Genomic DNA, 22,058 nt, shown 5'->3' with positions numbered 1-22,058 from the left:
TGATATGGCTTGGCATCATGTCCCCACCCAAATCTCATCTTGAATTGTAATCCCATAATCCTCATGTGTTGCGGGAGGGACTCGGTGGGAGATGATTGAATCATGGGGGCAGTTTCCCCCCATGTTGTTTTCTTGATAGTGAGTGAGTCTCACGAGATCTGATGGTTTTATAAGTGTCTGGCATTTCCCCTGCTGGCACTCATTCTCTCTCCTGCCACCCTGTGAAGAGGTGCCTTCTGCCATGAATTTTTTTTTTTTTTTGAGATGGAGTCTTGCGCTGTTGCCCTTGCTAGAGTGCAATGGCGCGATGTCAGCTCACTGCAACTTCTGCCTCCTGGGTTCAAGCGATCCTCCTGCTTCAGCCTGCAGGGTAGCTGGGATTACAGGCGACCACCACCATGCCTGGCTAATTTTTTGTATTTTTAGCAGAGACAGGGTTTCACTATGTTGGCCAGGCTGATCTCAATCTCCTGACCTCGTGATCTGCCCTCTTCGGCCTCCCAAAGTGCTGGGATTACAGATGTGAGCCACTGCACCTGGCCTTGCCATGATTATAAGTTTCCTGAGGCCTCCCTAGCCATGCAGAGCTGTGAGTCAATTAAACCTCTTTTCTTTATAAATTACCCAGTCTTGGGTATTTCTTCATAACAGTGTGAGAATGGACTCATACAGTCTTGCTGCTGGTATATTTCAAGTATGGAAAAATAATCTTTAATATTAAATAAGGATTCATTAGATGAGCATTATCCAGTAGAAATATAATGAGAGCCACATATATAATCTAATAGCTGTATTAAAATGTAAGAAAAGTAAAATTAATTTTAATAATTTATTTAACCCAAAATATCAAAAATATTATCATTTCAAAATGTAATTAATATAAACATTATTGAGATACTTTAACTTTCTTTTTTTTGGTATTAAGTCTTTGAAATCTAGTTTGCATTTCATACAGTATATGTCAAATTAGACAAGTGACATTCAAGTACTCAGTAGCCACAAGTGGCTGGTGGCTGCCACCTTTAACACAGCAGCTTTAAATGACTCATTTACTTCAGTCAAGATAATCAGAACCCTCACGTTTTTGTCTGGGGTTTTTAAAAACTAACTTCTTTGAGTCTTCCCAGAAAGTCATAGACTTATACTATGCCATCTAATTCTCTTACATCCTTGTGACCTCATTCAGGTAGGGTGTAATTATGGGCCCATTCTAAGAATATGATCCAAGTGGTGCGACTTGCTTACTTGGAACTGAATCTCTGACCTGCCTTTTATAGGTCCTATATAGAATATAGCTTATCAGCCCAGCATACTGACATTGATCAGTGAAAGAAAAAACAGACAAAATTTGAGTTATGGGAAAATACCCTATCAATAGTATTAACAGGCTATAACAATCAGTAAGGCAATGAGATACCATTTTATACCAGTCAGAATGGCCATTATTAAAAAGTCAAAATCAACAGATGTTGGCAAAGAGGTGGAGAAAGGGGAACACTTACACACTATTGGTGGGAATGTAAATTTGTATGACCTCTATGGAAAGCAATATGAAGGTTTCTTAAAGAACTGAAAATAGAACTACTATTCAACCCAGCAATTTCACTACTGGGTATGTACCCAAAAGAAGATAAATCATTATATCAAAAATACACCTGAACTTGTATATTTATCACAGCACTATTAACAATAACAAAGTCCTGGATTCAGTCTAAGTGTCCATCAACAGATGGTTGGATAAAGAAAATGTGGTATCTATACATCATGGAATACTAATCAGCCATAAAAAGAATGAAATTATGTCCTTTGCAGCAACATGGATGGAGCTGGAGGCCATTATCTTAAGTGAAATAACTCAGAAACAGATAATCAAATACTGCATGTTTTCACGTGTAAGTGGGAACTAAACAAAGGGTACACATGGACATGAAGATGGGAAAAATAGACACTGGAGACTCCCAAAGAGGGGCGGATGAAGGAGCCTGGTGGTAAGGGTTGAAAAAGTACCTATTGGGCACAGTATTCACTGTTCAGGTGCTGGGTACACTAAAACCACAGACTTCACCACTATGTATTACATGCATGTAACAAAACTGCACTTACATCCCTTGAATCTATAAAAATAAAAATAATTTAAAAATAAAGAAAAGAAAATTAGTGAAGGAGTGTAACCACTTTGGAAGATGGTGAAAACAGATAATGTAAGTACTGAAAATAGACTTTAAGATTTAGCAGCGGCCGGGCGCGGTGGCTCACGCCTGTAATCCCAGCACTTTGGGAGGCCGAGGCGGGCGGATCACGAGGTCAGGAGATCGAGACCATCCCGGCTAAAACGGTGAAACCCCGTCTCTACTAAAAATACAAAAAATTAGCCGGGCGTGGTGGCGGGCGCCTGTAGTCCCAGCTACTTGGGAGGCTGAGGCAGGAGAATGGCGTGAACCCGGGAGGCGGAGCTTGCAGTGAGCCGAGATCCCGCCACTGCACTCCAGCCTGGGCGACAGAGCGAGACTCTGTCTCAAAAAAAAAAAAAAAAAAAAAAAAAGATTTAGCAGCAGCAGTTGAGCGAAGAAACAGTTTGATATCTCCTTGTTAACCATGTCCACAGAGGGGTCCATATTTTTCTTCTTTATGAAACCACAGCTGCCTCATGAAGTAGATGCATTGAGGACACATATTGCAAAATTTCAATAAAGGTCCTGAAACACATGAGTATTTTCATAGAATGGAAATTAAGAAGAAAAAAAAAAGAATAGAAGTGAAACCAAGATTTCCCAAAGCAAAGATTTCTGGGATTAAGAGATGAGACGAGATGAGTGAAGCTGAGTGTGCCATGCACTTCTGTAGGGGTAATGTGAGTTTGGGGAAGGAAAAATGCAGTAAAATGAGAAAAGATTAGGCCTTGATAGTGCATAGCAAATTATTGTAGCATGCCTCCTCACCATATGCTCATTCCATGATAAATTCATGTTCCAAGATGAAATGAGAAATTAAGATGCATGGGTTTGGAGATTCTGGAAAGGATAATAATAAAAGGAACCTGCATGATAAAAAAAAAATCCCAAACAAAAAACCACACCCAACAGATAGTCTTTTTCAAAGCTCAATTATTACACACCATTCTCTGCCTTATTAATTTGGGATGTTATTCTGCAATGTATCAAATCTTTACAATTTACAGTTCCTATACCTGGTTTCCTTGCTTATATAAGATTTACTCAGACAAAATCTGTTTTGCTGATGGGCTATGAACCCCTCAATTATTTGTTGTTGTTTTCTTTTGGTTTATGAGAATACAGGAGTCATGATGTAATGTTGCTATGGCAATGAATATGTACAAATAGATGATTAAGGTGGCGGGGGGGATGTTAAATCTTGAAAAAACACATTTGCATGTAAATTCTTTCCAGTGAAATAAAAGAATCTTGCATGTAAATCTTTTTCTGTTATGTGCAAAAATATGAAAGAAAGACGTGTTATATCACATCTTGAATAATGCATTTCTATTGTTTATATTCAATGACATGAACAACTAAATATGGTCCAAAGAGTATTTTTTATTAATGGTTCATTTCAAAAGACATTGGATTAAGACCGGATTAATTTCCATGGACGTGTGTGTGTGTGTGTAAATAAAGTATAATTGGGACACATTATAAGGACTAAGATCTTTTCTTGGTTGCCATGAGTGTGGCATTAAGAACTCAAGCATATAACGAATATTTATAATTTCCTAAGAGTACACTTTACTAGCTATTAGGATTCAATACACTGAGAGTAGTTAACATCTTACTGCAAAGCTTTCATAGTACTGATATTGGAACATGCACAAGAGGGTGGGGAAAATGGTATTTAAAGACCTAGTTTAAAATATTCCTACAAATAAAGTACTTAGATTTTTGATGTACTAACCTTTCTTGATGTTTTACAGAACTTTGAACCAATAATTTAAAAGATCCTGATTCCTTTATTGGCTGGCCATATACTGACTGACAAGATACCTAACTACTCTTTTTTTTTTCTATATATATACTGTTCTTAAGACAAGGTAAGGATCCTTGCCATCTGTTAAGGATTCTTTAGACCAGTACTGTCCAGTAGAGTTGTAATGTGGGCCACCTGTGTAATTTAAAATTTTCTGGTAGTCACACTAAAAAGTAAACAGAAATAGGTAATATTGATTTAATAATATATTTTATTCAACTCTATGTCCAAAATACTATCATTGCAACATTTAAGCAAGATAAAATTATTAGTAATGTATTTTTTACATTCTTATTGTTGTACTAAATCTTTGGATCTAGCATGTATTTTTTATTTACATCATATGTCGATTCAGTCTAGGCACATTTCAGGGGCTCAATATTCACATGTGGCTAGTGGCTACCGTGTTGATAACGCACCATTAGACTAAGAGGAAAGCATTGAGTTTGTGTAGAATATTGGAGTTATTCAATATTTGACTTCTTGGAATAATAAGCTTTTTTTTTTTTTTTTTTTGGAGACGGAGTCTTGCTCTGTCGCCCAGGCTGGAGTGCAGTGGCGCCATTTCGGCTCACTGCAAGCTCTGCCTCCTGGGTTCACGTCATTCTCCTGCCTCAGCCTCCCGAGTAGCTGGGACTACAGGCACCCGCCACCACACCTGGCTAATTTTTTGTATTTTTAGTAGAGACGGTGTTTCACCATATTAGCCAGGATGGTCTCGATCTCCTGACCTCGTGATCCGCCCGTCTCGGCCTCCCAAGGTGCTGGGATTACAGGCGTGAGCCACCGCGACCGGCCTTTTTTTTTTTTTTTTTTTTTTTTTTGCAAATGAGAGCTTTACAACTTGCAGAGGATGTTGCTTTAGAGACAAAATAAGTATGTGGGGAGTAAATCCCTGCCATTGTTGTAATGTGTATGGTTTAACAATGCTCTCTCATACACTACCCTTTTTGATCCTGGTCAAAGTTCTGGGAAATAGGGAGGAATTAAGTTCCATTTACTTTTGAGGAAGCAGACCCAGAAAGTTCATTACATTCTGCTATTTAGGCTCCCGGTATCATGATCTATTGGCAGATCACAATTTAAGGTGCAGTTATCAAATAATTAGCAAGCCAAACCAGACAAAATATAATGTGTCCTAGCAGTTTCTTGCCTTTTTAAAAAAGCATCTGTTTTGTGGGTGTCTGAAAGGGCTCAGATTTGTCCCACATCTCCAGTTTTTTGTTTGTTTGGATCCAGGATAAAACAAGAACAAAGTTTTTTTGTGCTTAGGAATATAAGATGGTGGCAGAAAAGATCCTCAGGATGCCACCCACATCTCAAAGTCCAACAACCATCTCATCTCCCATACTGTGATCCTTTGATAATAAAGTCAATTACATACAACATTTCACCATAGGTCTTTCATAGAACTTAGAACACCTAGCATATAATTTAGTCCTGAGCTAGGTGAAGAAGCAAGAAATGTTTTACTCTAAAGCAATTTTTATGACGCTATCACTTTTCAAGGAACCCCCAACAGTAGTAATAACACCAGTATTGTATTCTTGCTTTTTCGCGTTGTTCAGATTGAAATAATCCCATTCACTTTAATGTTCAGGCTCCATAGGTGAATTGAATTTAATTTCTATAAATTGGTAATGTTGCCGTTGTCCTTATATTTTCAGGCACAATCCAGGCCTTATATTTTCAGGCACCCGTTTGACAGTTAGCCTCTAGGGATTAAACAATACTCAAACAAGTTTTTCATATACTACTTTAAACAATTCTTCCCCTTCCCTTAATCCGTGTGTGTGTGTGTGTGTGTGTGTGTGTGTGTGTGTGTGTGTGTATGTTCCCTTAGTTCTTCAATTGCTGAAGTTGTAGCTGCCGAAATTATCTTCCATAGGTGAGGTCTTTTACCACCAGACGTGGGTCACACATTGTAGATGGCCACATCACCTGGCGCAGGTGGTCCAGCTTTGGTCGCCATTCATAGAGGGAAGGGTTCCCAAAAGGCACCCAAGAAGAGATGAAGTTTGTTAAACCAAAGCTTATAGGTCCAGAAGGCAGTCGGACAACTGGTCATTTCCAGGGATGAACAGAGAGGGCGCCCTTCCCCAGAGGCACAAATGGCCAGGACGCAGGGGTGGGACAAGCCAGTAGGAAGCCCGCGGGGCTCTCACAGCGCAACCTGGTTGGACTTAAGGACCCTGGACAACAAACGTCAGGAGAGCTAGGAGGCTGGCTCTTCTGCGGGAGGTTATAGAGCGGATCACCTGGGCGCAATCGCCGCGTAGTTGAAGTTTCCCTAAAGTCTCAGTGGGGCTTTTCCTCCCGTGAGAAGCCCCATTCCTGAGTATCTAGTCCCGGAGGCTCCGCACTGCTTCCCCACGCCCCCTCTTTCTTCGCCCCAGCTCTGGGCGATCTCACTGCCGGGCACAGGGCCGCCTTTGCCTGCCTGCCCTGCAGCAGCAGGCCCGGGCGGCTGCGAGAGGGCGCAGGGGGCGGAGGCGCGGCAGGGGCGGGCTCTGCCGCCCGCCCCACCACCCGCTCCCCGCCCGGCTGCGGGGCCAGTGGCAGGAGCGCCGCGCACCGCCAGCCGCAGGGGGCGTGGGATGGGGGCGGCCGGGGAGGGGGGCGCCCACACTGACTAGAGCCAACCGCGCACTTCAAAAGGGTGTCGGTGCCGCGCTCCCCTCCCGCGGCCCGGGAACTTCAAAGCGGGCCGTGCTGCCCCGGCTGCCTCGCTCTGCTCTGGGGCCTCGCAGCCCCGGCGCGGCCGCCTGGTGGCGATGACCCGGGCGCTCTGCTCAGCGCTCCGCCAGGCTCTCCTGCTGCTCGCAGCGGCCGCCGAGCTCTCGCCAGGTACGGTGCTGGTTTCTCTCCCGACGCCCGCGAGGGTGGGAGCTGGGAGGAGGTCTGCGGGTGAGCACGGGGGTGGGGGACAGGGGGTGCTCCGAGCAAACTGACCTTCGGGGCGGACAGGGAAGCGCCAGTCGGATTGAGGGGGCGCGGGATAGGGTGCAGCGTGGGCACCTGACGTCTGGCAGCCGTAGGGGTAGACAGGTGTGTTGGGGACGAAGCCGCCCGGAAGAGGGAAAAGGCAGCAGGGACGTGGGGGAATAAGTAGTAGGGGTGAGGTGGGTGACTAATTTGTGGGCAGTTTGCAGCGGAGAAAATAGGAGAGCGTTTGTGGGTGCGCGCATGGCTGGGAGCTGGGTTCACCCTGCAGGGACCTGGAGGGCTGCAGGTATGCGTCGGACGCGCTCTGTGCTAAGCCCCTGAGAGCTGCTCAAGGATGGTGGCATGGTGGTGGTGGGAGGTGGTGATTTAGTCTGAGTTTTAGGAGGCGGGGAATACCCCAAAAGCCGCAGATGCCAAGCTATGGAGGCGAGAGTGGGAGCTTAAATCTGTGTGGTTTGCAACGCACATTGCTTTCGAGGTACGATCTTTACTCAGAGTTCCTGGGGAAAAAAATTCTGGCAAGCGCCCCAGAGTTTATAACAGGTCTGTGCCTTGATAGGCTAAATAGAGCCCTCTACCCAATCTAGAAGCCAGACGTTTCTTTATAATGTTTACTAGAAAGTGGGGCAAATGCATCTTTGGTAAAATCATAATATGCTGTGACTAAAAGCCCTTTACCTCGAAAACTATTTTCATTACATTGTCCTGGATTATGCAGAGGAGGAGCAGATTCTTTGCTAACTCATTCTTTAAAAATTTCTATCAGACATTGAAGACATTTGCACATAAAAATCTGGTGTTTTCCCATAGAGCTGTGTTTTGTCCGAAGCTGATTTTGATGCATTTTGTTTTCCCAGATGACAATCTGTTTGACATTAATAGCTATATTCATGGTGGGTCGTTTTCCTCTTAGTGACATGTGCAAGAGAATGATTTGAATGATATGATTGCTGTCATGTACAGATTTCAGTGTTTCAGATGGCCTGAGAGAATCACTAAATACAATATTCAAATATAAATTTGATTATTGAAAAGGATTAATTGACAAAATCTGAGGATTAAAACATTCCAGTTATCTTTTAGGAAAACAGCCCAAGACTGTCGGAAAGATGATGGGATAAAGTGAAATATTTGCATTTAGAGTTAATAAATTTATAAGTGGGAGAAAACCAACTATGGGAAAGTCTTTAAAAAATGGGTGAAAACTCTGCTAACTTGGGATACTGAAAGTGCTCTTGACAATTTAATAGAGTTTACAAAAAAAAGTCTTCAAGGTATCACAGTTTTGATGGGGTGAAACTGCCTCTGGAGGCTGTCTGTACAACTCTTTTTATTTGGAGGAGCTGATAACTTGGCTGCACACATTTCTACAAAACAGATTCAATTTTTTTAAAATGTAGCTTCAAGGGTATATTTTGTTGTATACCCAGAATCTTTAGAAAATTTCAGAGACCTTGAGCATAGCAACATGCCTCATGTTCTTGAAAAGGCATGGAAACTTTTGACATTGAAATATGCAAAAAATAAAAAAAAGATAATCCATTCAAAGTCGCTCACTTAAAATTTGAAGTCTAAGAAAAATGCATGATATGGAATAATATAGTAGAGATGTATTTATTGAAGCTGAACTTTTATGAAAAACTTTTCTATGTCAAGTGCAATCATTTTCAAATCTCCTTAAGAAGTTTTTACCCCTCTGTGTCCCACGTTAACAATGTATATTGCTACTTATAGTATTTATTCTTAACTTTATATAAAACTCTGGCTATTTAGTAGAAAGATTCAAGGTAGTTTTGTTTTGCTTTTCACTTTTTCAATTGGTTTTATGACATGGTTAGCCAACTGTATTTTTACCTGGTCACTTTTACAAATTATACTGTTAATCATATTGGCCATTTATGACATGTACTTGCTGTTGTTGGAATGTTATATGAGAAGTTGTTCTTGATGTAATGACATAGTCAGTGAAACTGTGTGACAGAAGGCACCACCTTTCATCTGGATCTGCAGAGCAGGCCTACGACTTTAAATATCTGAACACATGATAAACCAGTAAACCTTTTTTACTTTGGCTGCTCATTCCCCACATTGTTGTCACCTTAGGGGTGTCCATTGCTCCTTTTTGAGAATCTCAGAAGATAACAGCTGGTAGAGACTTAGAAAAACTGTTTATTGGTCTGGACTGGAATTAAAAAAATCAGGCTGGCTGGGTGCAGTGGCTCACGCCTCTAATCCCAGTACTTTGGGAGGCCGAGGTGTGAGGATTGCTTGAGGCCAGCAAGTTCAAGACCAGCTCAGGCAACATAGTGAGACACCATCTCTACAAAAAATTTAAAAACAATTAGCCAGTTCTGGTGGCACACACCTGTAGTCCTAGCTACTTGGGAGGCTGAGACAGAATTGCTTGAGACCAGGAGTTCAAGATTGCAGTGAGCCATGATCACACCACTGCACTCCAGCCTGGGTGACACAGTGAGGCACCGTCTCTAAAAACAAGAGCAACGAAAAACTCAGGCTCCTCTGAGTTGCTCTGGTTATGTAGGTTCTGGATGCCTTGATGTTTGATAAGAGAGACCTGACATGGCTTCACAATATTCACCATGTGTACCCAAAAAAGAAGTGGCAGAAAATGTCCTGGAGTTCTCTACTTTGAAGCTGTGATTTGGATGTTACATAGATTTACATATTGTGCATTCTCTTCTAATTTCTTGAAACTCCTTTGTCCTCTGGTCCAGAAAGGATTATTAAGAGTCCAGAAAGCCCTATGTTGTTACTCCAAAAATGGAATAAATATTTCCTTAATAACCAGGGTGAGAGTGGGGGTTTCAAGTAATGAAATTCTTCCCCCCACCCCCCTGCACCCCTCTGCACCCCCTCACCCCCACTGCAAACAATAGTTAGCAGTTTCCACTAAGAGTTTTCCACAGTGTTGCTGGAAGTGAAAGTGAAAGCTCAGGGCTGACTGAGTTTATAAATGCAAAAGATGTTGCCATCTTTGCCCTTCTTTAAGCATAGTCATTTATTGGTTGATTGACACAGATGTGGCAAGAGGCTCCCTGGTTCCAAGGAAGACATCTCTGGCCCAGGAGAAACTATGCTTAGAGATTTCCTCTGAATTGCTAAACTCATACAAAAAATAAAGGACTTTGAGGTGTGAAAGTGAGTAGCTAAGGATGATGCTACATTTTTGACCCAAGCAATGGAAGAATGGACCCTTAATTGGGGTGGGGCAGACTGCAGGAAAAGCTGGTCTGGGGAGAGAAGGGTTGGTGCTGACAGATCACAGGAGCTCAGTTTTGAATATGTTGAGTTCAAAATGCCTCTCAGATGCTGAAATGGAGATGTTAAGTAAGCAATTGGTTTTCTGGGTCTGAAGTTCAGGGGATAAATATGGACTGATGATAAAAAATTGAGAGCCAAGGGCATTTACTGATAACTTTTCAAAGACGCATTAAATAGAGCCACAGACTTAGCAAATAAGGCAGAGAATACCTTGTTAGATTGAATTTGAGATAAACAATGAATACCTCTTTAGTATAAGTGTGTCACAAGTATGACATGGAACACAAGTATATTAAAAATTAATTGCTGTTTAATTCCAATTTAACTGGGTGTTCTGTACTTTTATCTTGCAAACCAACATAAAAGAAGTCCTGTTGTGAGATAAACCATTCCTGATGCATGTATTTCTGGCTCTTTTATTAAAAAGAGAAGTGAAGACCTATTTTCTAGTCCTCAGCTCTAAAACCCTCGCCTGTTCTAGCTCCGTTACTGTCTTCATGTGCATCTCCCAATGTGTCACTCCCAACTCTTTGCACAGGATATCTCTCTTCTGTGTGAACCTGAAAGGATACCTAGTTTTCTCCAATCCTACATGAGTATCTAGACATGAAAATATGGGTGAAAAAAACAAGAATAACTCTTGATTCCCTTGATTGTTGCATGAAAGCAGTTGGTTTTTCCCAAGTTCGCTGTATTTTGGAAGTGGTTATTTTCAGATGTGATTTTGGAGTAGTTTCCTTTTGAATACACTTTCATGTTTCTCTTTTGGGGAAATGCTTTCAGGCAGTAGCCAAGACCCACTTTGTTGTACTTTTCTTGGCACTACTTGCATCTCTTGCCGTAAATAAGGTTAAGAGGAGAGGAGATTGGATAGAGGCAGGAATAAGGAGGCTGCTGAGCCCTGTGGGACCTGTTATTCTGATATAGTTTGAAGTTTTAGAGCATGTTCCTAAGAGAGCAATGACAAGATTTTGGGGAAGGGGCTTGGATACATAAATATCATCCTGAAGCTGTTTAGTTCCTGCTCTAGCTTAGTCTTGACCTACCAAATGATTAATGTTATCTTCAATTTGAGATCTGTAGTGTCCTATAAGTGGACAACTGCAGGCATGGATCATTAAAAAGCTCAGATTATGTTGACATATATATAAAGAGTTTATTTTAATAAATAATAGAACAAGAGAATTAATTTTCAAGTATAATTAGTAAACAGAACAAAACAAAGGAAAAATTCTAAGCATAAAGAGTGTGCTATGTATTATGCCTTATCATTAAAAAAATTTAAATTATTCAAAAAAATTTTTGTGGGTGCATAGTAGATATATATATATGTATGGGGTACATGAGATGTTTTGATACAGGCATGCAGTGTGAAATAAGCACATCATGGAAAATGGGGTATCCATCCCCTCAAGCATTTTATCCTTTGAGTTACAAACAATCCAATTACATTCTTTATTTTAAAATATGTAATTATTACTGACTATAGTCACCCTATTGTGCTATCAAATGGTAGGTCCTATTCATTCTTTCCATATTTTTGTACCCATTAACCATCCCCACCTCCCCCACCAACCCCCTACTACCCTTCCCAGCCTCTGCTAACCAGCTTTCTATTCTCTCTGACCATGAGTTTGATTTTTAGATCCCACAAATAAGTGAGAACATGTCATGTTTGTCTTTCTGTTCCTGGCTTATTTCAGTTAACATAATGATCTCCACTTCCATCCATGTTGTTGCAAATGACTGGATCTCATTCTTTTTTATGGCTGAATAGTACTCCATTGTGTATATATACCAGATTTTTGTTATCCATTCGTCTGTTGATGGACACTTAGGTTGCTTCCTAATCTTAGCTATTGTAAATAGGGCTACAACAAACATGGAAGTGCAGATCTCTTCCATATACTAATTTTCTTTCTTTTGGGTTATATCCATCAGTGGGATTGCTGGATCATATGGTAGCTCAAGTTTTAATTTTTTGAGGAACCTCCAAAGGGTTCTTCTTAGTGGTTGTACTAATTTACAATCCTACCAACAGTGTACAAATGTTCGCTTTTTTCCACATCCTTGCCAGCATTCATTATTGCCTGTCTTCGGAATGTAAGCCATTTTAAATGGGGTGAGATGATATCATTGTAGTTTTTATTTGCATTTCTTTGGTGATCAGTGATGTTGAGCACCTTTTCATGTGCTGTTTGCCATTTGTATGTCATCTTTTGGGAAAAGGCTATTCAAATCTTTTGTCAATTTTTTTATTGGATTATTAGATTTTTTTTCCCTACAGTGTTATTTTAGCTCCTTATATATTCTGGATATTAATCCCTTGTGAGAGGGGTAGTTTGCAAATATTTTCTCTCATTCTGTGGATTGTCTTTTCACTTTGTTGATTGTATCCTTTACCATGCAGAATCTTTTTAACTTGATGTGATCCCATTTGTCCATGTTTGCTTTGGGCATCTGTGCTGGTGGGCTATTACTCAGGAAATCTTTGCACAAACTGATGTCCTGGAGATTTTCCCCAATGTTTTCTTGTAGTAGTTTCATAGTTTGAGGTGTTTAATTCATTTTGATTTGACTGTTTTTGTATATAGTAAGAGATAGGGGTCTAGTTACATTCTTCTGCATATGGATATCCAGTTTTCCCAGGACCATTTATTGAAGAGACTATCCTTTCCCCAGTGTATGTTCTTGGCACCTGTGTTAAAGATGAGTTCACTGTAGGTGTGTGGATTTGTTTCTGGGTTCTTTATTCTGTTGCATTGGTCTATGTGTCTGTTTTTATGTCAGTACCATGCTGTTTTGGTTACTGTAGCTCTGCAGTATAATTTGAAGTCAGATAATGGGATTCTTCCAGTTTTGTCCTTTTTTCCTTAGGATAGCTTTGGCTATTCTGGGTCTCTTGTGGTTCCATATAAATTTTAGGATTTTTTTTTCTATTTCTGTGAAGAACGTCATTAGTTATACCTTATAGTATCTTCTTGGTTTTCCATTGCTTTGGTCTTCTAAGTCTTATATTTTTCACAGTCAATAGTCAAAATCTCAAGATTTATCCTTACCTTGTTGAAGAAATTGGGATAGTATGTTTAAGAAATTGAGATATGTTCATAAATGATACACAAATGACTCTTTTGCTAATGGGACCTAGGAATACCCAAACACTAGCTGCTGAGTCTCATCTTCAGTTAAGAGGTGACATCTAGAAAAAGGAGGTGAAACAAGGCAAAGTAACTTTTTCTTATTACCTGGAGCTTTTGTCCCCAGTAGCATGGCAAACTTGAATACGCTCTTCTTTTCAACAACTAAATAGCCCAAGGATAAAGGTAGAGGAGCTGTGATAAACCCGAACCCTGGATTCTAACTCCAGGAAACCATTGAAAGGCTATTCAGTCCTGGCAAAATGAAGCCATAGAGGCTGTGGAGCAAGGGACCTCTATTTGCAATACCTCGCATTAGTCCAGGTCTCATGGAAACTGGCAGGAGTTCCAGGCAATAATTTCAGGGGCGACTGCTAGGTGAGGGAAAAAGTAGAAAGTCTGTGGAAAGAGGTGGCGGGATCTCTTCTACCAAGGAAGCAGGTTGTACCCTTCCCACACTTGCTGTGGAAAAGAAGGAAGACATAGCCATGACCATGAGCCCCTTGTTTTTCTTGTTCTTTGAAAGCTGGATCCCTAAAGCATGTGGGCCACTTGGTTCCCTGAAACCCGAACAATACAAATCACTACTCCTCCTACTTAGGGATCCAGTAAAAAGTAAAAGGATGGAGGAGGTGGGTGGGAGTATGAAACAGACAAGGAAGACCTTATTTACATAGAAGCCAACACTTTGCTCCTTCTCAGGGGCTACCATTGCCTCATGATGTGCCCCTTGAATTCACTGCTCTGATTGGCCAGCCAGGCTAACACGGCTCTGCTGTGTCCTGATTCTTCACTTTTTTTCCTCTAGAATAGCTTCTACTTTCTGTTGTTCTCTTCTGTCTTTTAGACAGTAGGCATGCAAAGATACTGTTTCTTTGGAGCTGTTTTAAATTAATCTCAAGAATTCATGGGTGATTCACTAGGTATGACTCAAGAGCTTGGCTTATTATTATTTTTTTAAAACAATTTAAATTTGCCAATGACTTAAACATCCCAAATTAGATCAATCCACTTTTTCATTAAACTTTTCACTTCAAGAAAATCATTAGGATGCTCCCATTTTGAAAGTGAAACACACATTTTCTCCCAATCTATTTTGTCGTTGTTATCTCATGGTTAATAAAAAGACAGGGATGGATGCTACATCTCTGCATATTGATTAAGCACCTTATACCTTTTTTTATGCAACTTGATAATTGACTGAAATAAAGACTCTATGATCAAAAACGGGACTAGAAAAAAAATCTAACTCATCAGGATATGGACATGTTCAAATAGCTAGAAGACCAGATTTTGAATGTTCTCAACATAAAGAAATGATAAATGTTTGAGGTGGTGGATATGCTAATTCTCCTGATGTGATCATTGGACACTGTATACATGTATCAAAACATCACATTGTATCCCATAAATATATACAATTATGTGTCAATTAAAAAATAATTAAAAACAACAAATATAAATTTTTTTTAATGCATACGTATCCAAGAGATGTTAATTCAGAAACTGGTAATCCGGATTACTACAGCTTAAAAAAACCAGATTGTTTTACAACAGAGCCAAAATATATTAAAGAGTATTAAGTAATCACATCTCACAACTTTATCCGATGGCATTTTCCTGGCCTACTCCCCTGGAAGTGTATCTTTTTTTTCTCTATCATCTCCATTTTCGTTCTCCAAGAGTAAAAATTCTATTCTGTGGACATTTGCTTGCTCTGATAGTCATGGTGAGATTGTGTTCTCACTTAAATTCTACTTGCAATCTGTCATTTGTATTTCCAGAAAATAGACATTACACAAAATTTGACAGGTTGAATACAGAATAATTATATAATTAGCAGAAGATTCCTTATAGAATAATAAATGTATAACTGAATGAAACTCTTTTTGAAAATCTTTATTTCCTACAGCTACTCTTTAGCTATGTTCTATGAAAAGGCATTCCCTTATGTAGAGAGAAGAAAGTTGACTTCGTTAAAACAACTGGACCCCTTTAGAAGTATAGAGAGTTATTGTGCCAAATCAAGATGATGTTCCCCAGAATGGCTTTTACTCAACTATGCTTTGGATATTGCCATTACCATGAAGTTTTTTTTTGCCACATTTCCTTATTATCCTTTTAATATTTGTAAGATTTGTAGTGATGGCCCCTTTAATATTTCTGAAATAGGGAATTTGAATTTTCTCTCCTTTTACCATGATCAGTCTAGCCGGAGGTTTATCAATTTTATTGACTTCTTGCAAATAAATAGCTTTTGGTTTTATTTATTTTCTCTGTTTGTTGTCAGTTATTTTCTTCTCTTCATTATTTTCTTCATCCGCTTTCTTTAGGTTTAAGTTATTGCTTTTTATTCCAGGTTCTTTAGCAGGTACATTATATCAAGTGTTGGCAACATTTTCTCAAAGGGTCAGAGTTTATCCTATTTTAGGCTTGTGAAACAAATAGTTACTGTTGCATCCACTTAACTCTGCCTTTGTAGTATGAAAGCAGCCACGGACAATACATAAACAGATAGGTGTTGCTGCATTTCAATAAAACCTTATTTATAGCCAATAGGCCATAGTTTGCTGACCCACATTAAATTATTAATTTAAGACCTTTCTTCTCTTCTAATATACATATTTAACTTCTAAGTTTCCCTCTCAGCAACTGCTTCAGCTCATCCATAAATTGTGATATTGTGTTTTTATTTATACTGAGTTAAAAATCTTTACTAGTTTCCTTTGTAATTTTTTGAAGCCACCTGTGTGTTATTTGGATGTCTGTTATTTAACTGCCAAATATTTTAGTAATTTTCAGAGCTTTTTTTTTTTTACAGAATTCTACTTTAAATCCATTTGGGATGAAATAACAGAATCTACATGATTTCATTTATTTTGAATTCATTTGTGTTTGTTTTATAGTCTGGCACATGTCTGACCTCGTGAATACTCCATATGTACTTGAAAATACTACATATTCCACTTTGGATGAGTGGAGTGTTCTGTAAGTGTCATTTAGGTCAAGTTGCTAGACAGTATTACTGAAGTCTTTTCTATCTTTACTGATTCTCTGTCTTCTTGTTTCACCAGCTATTGAGAAAGGATTGTTGACATCTCTAATTTACTTGTGGATTTATGTATTCCCTTTTTTTGTTTTTTTCTAATTGTTGCTTCCTATATTTGAATATTTTGTTCTTGGGTACATACACAATTAGGATTATTATGTCCTCTTTATCCATACTTATGACTGGGAAAACTCCTACTTTATCCCTGGTAATATTTGTTATTATGACATGCTTATCTTTATTACTGGTAATATGCTTTGCCTTGAGGTCCACTCTGTTGATATTAATATAACTATCCCACCTTTCTTATGGTTAATATTTATATATCTACTTTTTTAAACTATTGATATAGTTACTCTGTTATTCCAGTTTTCTTGTGCTGAAAGTCTACATATTATAAATTTTCCATTCTCTTATGCTTAACTCATATATATCTTTACATTTAAATTGGGTTTCTTATAGAGAGAGCATATGTTTGGGTCCTGCTTTTTTTAATCCTGTCTTACATACTTGTCTTTTAACTGGAGCATTTACAACATACACATTTAATATATTTACCAATACGGTTGTATGTAATAAATCTGTCATCTTATTTTTATATATCCTCTTTCATTTCCCCCTCTTGCCTTCATTTGGTTAAATTGACTAAATATTAGCTTTATATATTATTTTCACTATTAGTTTCTAAGCTATGCCTCTCTATTTTTAGTGATTGTTCCAAAATTGATAATATTACCATAGCTTATTTAAGAACCTTACCATCATATGCCTCCATTTCCCTCTCTTTGTCTTTTGTGCTATTAATCTCATATGTTTTACTTCTAAATATTTTGTAAACCTTGAAACTTATAGTTATTATTTTGGCTTTTATGTATTACCTTTAAAGAAATTTTAAAAATGAATATACTATTTTACATTTACCCACCTGTTTATCACTTTTAGTACTCTTCATTGCTTTGTATAAATCAAAGTTTATATCTGTTGTCATTTTCTTTCAACCTGAAGATCTTCCTTCAGTTTTTGTAGTTCAGTTCTGATAGCAACACATTCTAATTAATTTTTGTTTAGGGAAAGTTTGATTTTGCTTTACTTTTCCTCCCAACTTTTATTTTTAAGCTTCAAATATACACTAGAATTAAAAGAATTTTAGTTATCACCCATATACTGACCAATTGGATTATACCATTATTGTTTTATTATATAATTTTGCCTTATCATATATATATCCATTTATCCATCCTTCTATCCATTAATATATGTTATCTTCTGATGCATCTCCAAGTAAATTACACATAGCAGTATATTTTCTTTGAAATACTTCAGCATGCATATTATTACACAGAGTTCAACACTTTTCTTTTTGGATAAAATATTTATATGTAATGACATTCACAAGTCTTTTGTGTGTACTCATGAAATTTTGAGAAATACATTCACCTAATCTTTTTCAAGATATTAAAGATAAACATCATCACAGTGAGCTCCCTCATGTCTCTACCCAGTTATTCCTCAATGCGGTACTCCCAAAGGCATCTGCTGTTCTTTATTCCACCATAGATTAGTTTTGGCTGTTGGGTGTATTGTTTTGTAAATGCCAATTAGGTGAGGTTTATTGATAGTGTTGTTCTCATCATCTATATTTCTTACTGAGAGAAGTGTGCAGCTATACTTATGTATTTGTCTGTTTCTCCCTTTAGTTCCATTAGTTTCTATTTTATATATTTTGAAATACTTAGGCACATACACATTTACAATTTCCATGCCTTCCTGATGCAATGACTATTTAATTAATATAAGACGTCCCTCTTTATCTCAGTAATACTCTTTGTCTGGAAGTCTACTCTAATAGTAATATAACCATGCCAATTTTCTTATGTTTAGTATTTGCATGTATTTTTTCCCTTTCCTTTCCTTTCTATCGTGTCTTTATAAGGAAAGTGCATCCTTTGTACACAGCATATAGTTAGTTCTTCACTTTTACCTTTTAACACTTGGACAGTAATTAAGATGTTTAGTCCATTAACAATTAGTATAGTAATTGGTAGCCTACCCTCTTGCTATTTATTTTTCTTTTTATTATTCTTCTGTTCCTCTTTTTTGGCCCTCTTTTTGACTAGTAATTTTTTTGAGTATTTCATTTTACTTTCTTTGTGGATTTCTTAACTCTCTCCCCTAATTATTATTTTTAACTGGTTGCTCTATGTTTAACTGTATTCTTTCTTAATGTTCCTTTTGAATCAATACTGTGTCATTTCACTCATTACTCTTCACACCTGACACTTCAATCTTCTTACTTCATGCTTCTCTCTTTACCCTGACACCTCCAGTTTTAGTATAAAGACCTTGTAATAGTATGATTAAATTTACCAATAGTATAGTTATATTTACATCAACCAATAATTATGAGGAGATACTTAAGGAAAAACCCTACTCACAAGTGACAGAGCACTCAATAGAACCTGATTTAGATATGATGCATATTTTAAAGCTATTAGGCAAGGAATTTAAAATAACTATGATTAAAAACTGTAGTGGAAAATGTGGAAAATATGCATGAACAGTTGTAGCATTTCAGTAGAAGGGTAGAGAGTGTAAGAAAATGTCAAAAGGAAATGCTAAATATGAAAAACAAATGAAGAATGCCTTTGGTGTGCTCATCAATTGACCTGACACAGCCAAAGAAAGAATCATAAATTTGAAGATGTATCACTAGAAATTACCTTATAATAGTGTACTTATACTTGTTTAAAGCCATTACACTAAAGAGGGAAGCGTCCAGAGGTAATAAAGAGGGAGGAGCAAAAAGACCCAACAGAGCATCCAAGAGGTATGGGGTAATAACAAGTAATATAAAATATGTGTAAATGGAATGCTAGAAGAAAACAGAGGGAGAATGGGACAAAAGAAATAGTTGAAGAGATATTGGTTAATAATTTCCAGATATAATGAAAGACATCAAACCACCAAGCACAGAAGCTCGGAGAGCCCAATCCAGACAAATTTCTCTCCTCCCAAACCCTACACCAATAGACCATATCCATCATATTCTAACTGATGACATTCAAAGATAAATAGAAAATCTTGAAGGCAGCTTGCATTAAAAAATACCTCTTACATAAAGAGGAACAAAGTTAAGAATTGCAGCAGACTTCTTAGCAGAAACTGCAAAACACGAACCAATGAAGGGACTTTATTTTTTTTAATTTTTAATTTTTTTACAAGAACAGTCCTATTGCAATAAAGTGACAACTTTAAATGCAGTGAGTAAAAAATTGCCAACCCAATATTCCATACTACATGAAGTTTTTTTAAATGAAAGAGAAATAGACATTTTCCAATAAATAAGAACTTATGTAATCCCAGCACTTTGGGAGGCCAAGGTGGAAGGATTACTTGTGCCTAGGAGTTTGAGACCAGCCTAGGCAACATAGCAAGACCATGTCTTTACAAAAAATGAAAAAAATTAGCCAGGTATGGTTGTGCACACCTGTAGTTCCAGCTACTGGGGAGGCTGAGGTGGGAGAATTGCTTGAGCTCGGGAGGTCAAGGCTGCAGTGAGCTATGATCATGTCACTGTTCTCCAACCTGGCTGACAAAGTGAAATCCTATCTCAAAACAGGCAAAACCCACAAAAACCTCAAAGCATGCACCACACCTGGCTACTTTTTGTGTTTTTTTTTTTTTTTGTATTATTGTTACTTGTAGAGACAGGGTCTCACTACAGTGCTCAGGCTGGTCTTGAACTCCTGGCCTCAAGTGATCCTCCTGCCTTGGCCTCCCATAGTGCTGGTATTATAGGCATGAACCACTGTGCCCAGCTGCAAGGGCATCTCTTAAAAATATTTTTAAAATGGTAAAAATAATAAGCTAATAATGTAAATAAAATGGAATAAAAATATTCAATTAATCCAAAAGCATGAGGGTAAAATATCCAAGGGACCAAAAACAATGAATGGAAAACAATGAACAATATGGTAGATTTCATTCAGTTATACCAATAATTACATTAAATGTAAATGGTTTAAGTATAGCAATGAAAAGACTGAGATTGTCAGACTGGGTAAAAAAGCAAGATCTATATGCTGTCATAAGAAATCCACTTTAATATAAGAAATGCACTTTAAATACAAAGAGACAAATAGATTGAAAGTACAACTATGGAAAAAATTATACCATGCACACACTAACTATAAGAAAGCTGGGGTGGCTATATTAATAACAAACAAAATAGACGTCAAAAGATAAGATGCTGCAAGGGATATTCCATAGTGATAGAAATATCACTTCACTGACAAGATATCATAATGTTGTGTATGCTTCTAGCCATAGAGCTTCAAAATGCATGAAACAACAATGGATAGAACTGAAAGGGAAATAGACACATCTTTAATTATATTTTGAGTCTTCAAACTCGTCTCTCATATCTGATAGAATAAATAAACCAAACTTTAGTAAGGATATACAAAATCTAAAAAATAATTTTAACTAACTTGACCTAATTGACATTTATGTGACATTCCAACTAACAACAGCAGAATACACATATTTTAAAGTGTGCATAGAATATTAGCCAAGATAGACCATATTGTGGGGGCATAGAACAAACCTAATACATTTTTAAAAAATTAAAGTATACAGAATATGTTCTCTGAATATAATGGAAACAAACTAGAAATCAACAACAGGAACTTATTAAGCAATGAACTTCTACATACTTGTAGGTCAAAGTGGTTCACCTTAGCTAGATTTACAAAGAAAATAGAGGGAATACACAAATTACTGATGTTAGAAATGAAAGAAGGACATTGCTATCCACCCCACAGACATAAAACTAAAAATAAAGGAATATTGCATTTTGTTCACAATTAAAAAATTTAGGTAAAATGAGCAAATTCCTTGAAAGATATAAACTTCCAAAGACTAATCAAGAAATAATAAATAACCTGAATAGTCCTAAAGAGATTAAAGACATTCATTTTATAGCTCAAAGCTTGAAAACATCTAACAAAAAAGTCTCTAATTTCACATTACTTCACTGGTGAATTCTATCAAAATTTTTAGGAAGAAATAATGTCTATTCTACATAAACTTCCAGAATGTGCAAGTGGAGGGAACATCTTTCAGCTCATTTTATGAAACCAGTATTACAGTGAAACCTAAACTAGGTAAAGACATCACAATGAAAGAAAACTATAGACCAGTATCTCTCATAGAGATGCAAAAATCCTCAACAAAATGTTATTAAATTGAAGAAAAATATAACAACAGGATAATACATTATTTTCTTGTGGAGTTTGTCCTAGGAATGCAAGCCTGGTTCAACATTCAAAAATCGAATATTTCAATTTACCATTTCAGCAGACTAAAGAAAACCATATGACAATATCAACAGATGCATTTAAAACCAGATGACAACACTCACCTATAAAACACAGTTGAAATAATTTAAAGTAAACCTAAATGAATGGAATCCTATACAGTTGGCCCTCCATATCTGTGGGTTTCACATCTGCAGATTCAATCAACGGCAGATTGAAAATATTTGGAAAAAAAACACAACAAAAATTAACAATACAACAATAAAAATAATGCAAATAAAAAACCAATACAGTATTAAAACTATTTATATAGCATTAGGTATTATAAGTAATCTAGAGATTATT

General features: G+C 37.6%; 1 protein-coding gene across 3 annotated transcripts in view, besides 1 other annotated feature; it reads left to right on the top strand.

The window, feature by feature from the left end:
• ACVR1C (activin A receptor type 1C) overlaps positions 6,536 to 22,058 on the top strand; it is a 102,098-nt gene continuing 86,575 nt past the window's right edge. For all 3 annotated transcript variants that reach the window (NM_001111033.2, NM_001111032.2, NM_145259.3), the window contains exon 1: positions 6,536 to 6,828. In NM_001111033.2, the coding sequence (NP_001104503.1) occupies positions 6,756 to 6,828 (73 nt within the window). In that variant the 5' untranslated portion in view covers positions 6,536 to 6,755. The remainder of the gene's footprint in view (positions 6,829 to 22,058) is intronic.
• Positions 6,592 to 6,821: a silencer, noted in NCBI's record as "silent region_12029". NCBI's record gives its function as "represses an Ori minimal core promoter by ATAC-STARR-seq in GM12878 lymphoblastoid cells {active_cell/tissue: GM12878}" and the evidence as "EXISTENCE:reporter gene assay evidence [ECO:0000049][PMID:35858748]".

Source organism: Homo sapiens, chromosome 2, assembly GCF_000001405.40.
Source record: "Homo sapiens chromosome 2, GRCh38.p14 Primary Assembly".
NCBI lineage: Eukaryota > Metazoa > Chordata > Mammalia > Primates > Hominidae > Homo > Homo sapiens.
The sequence above is the reverse complement of the archived record's forward strand: the minus strand, read 5'-3'. Positions and strand labels throughout refer to the sequence as shown.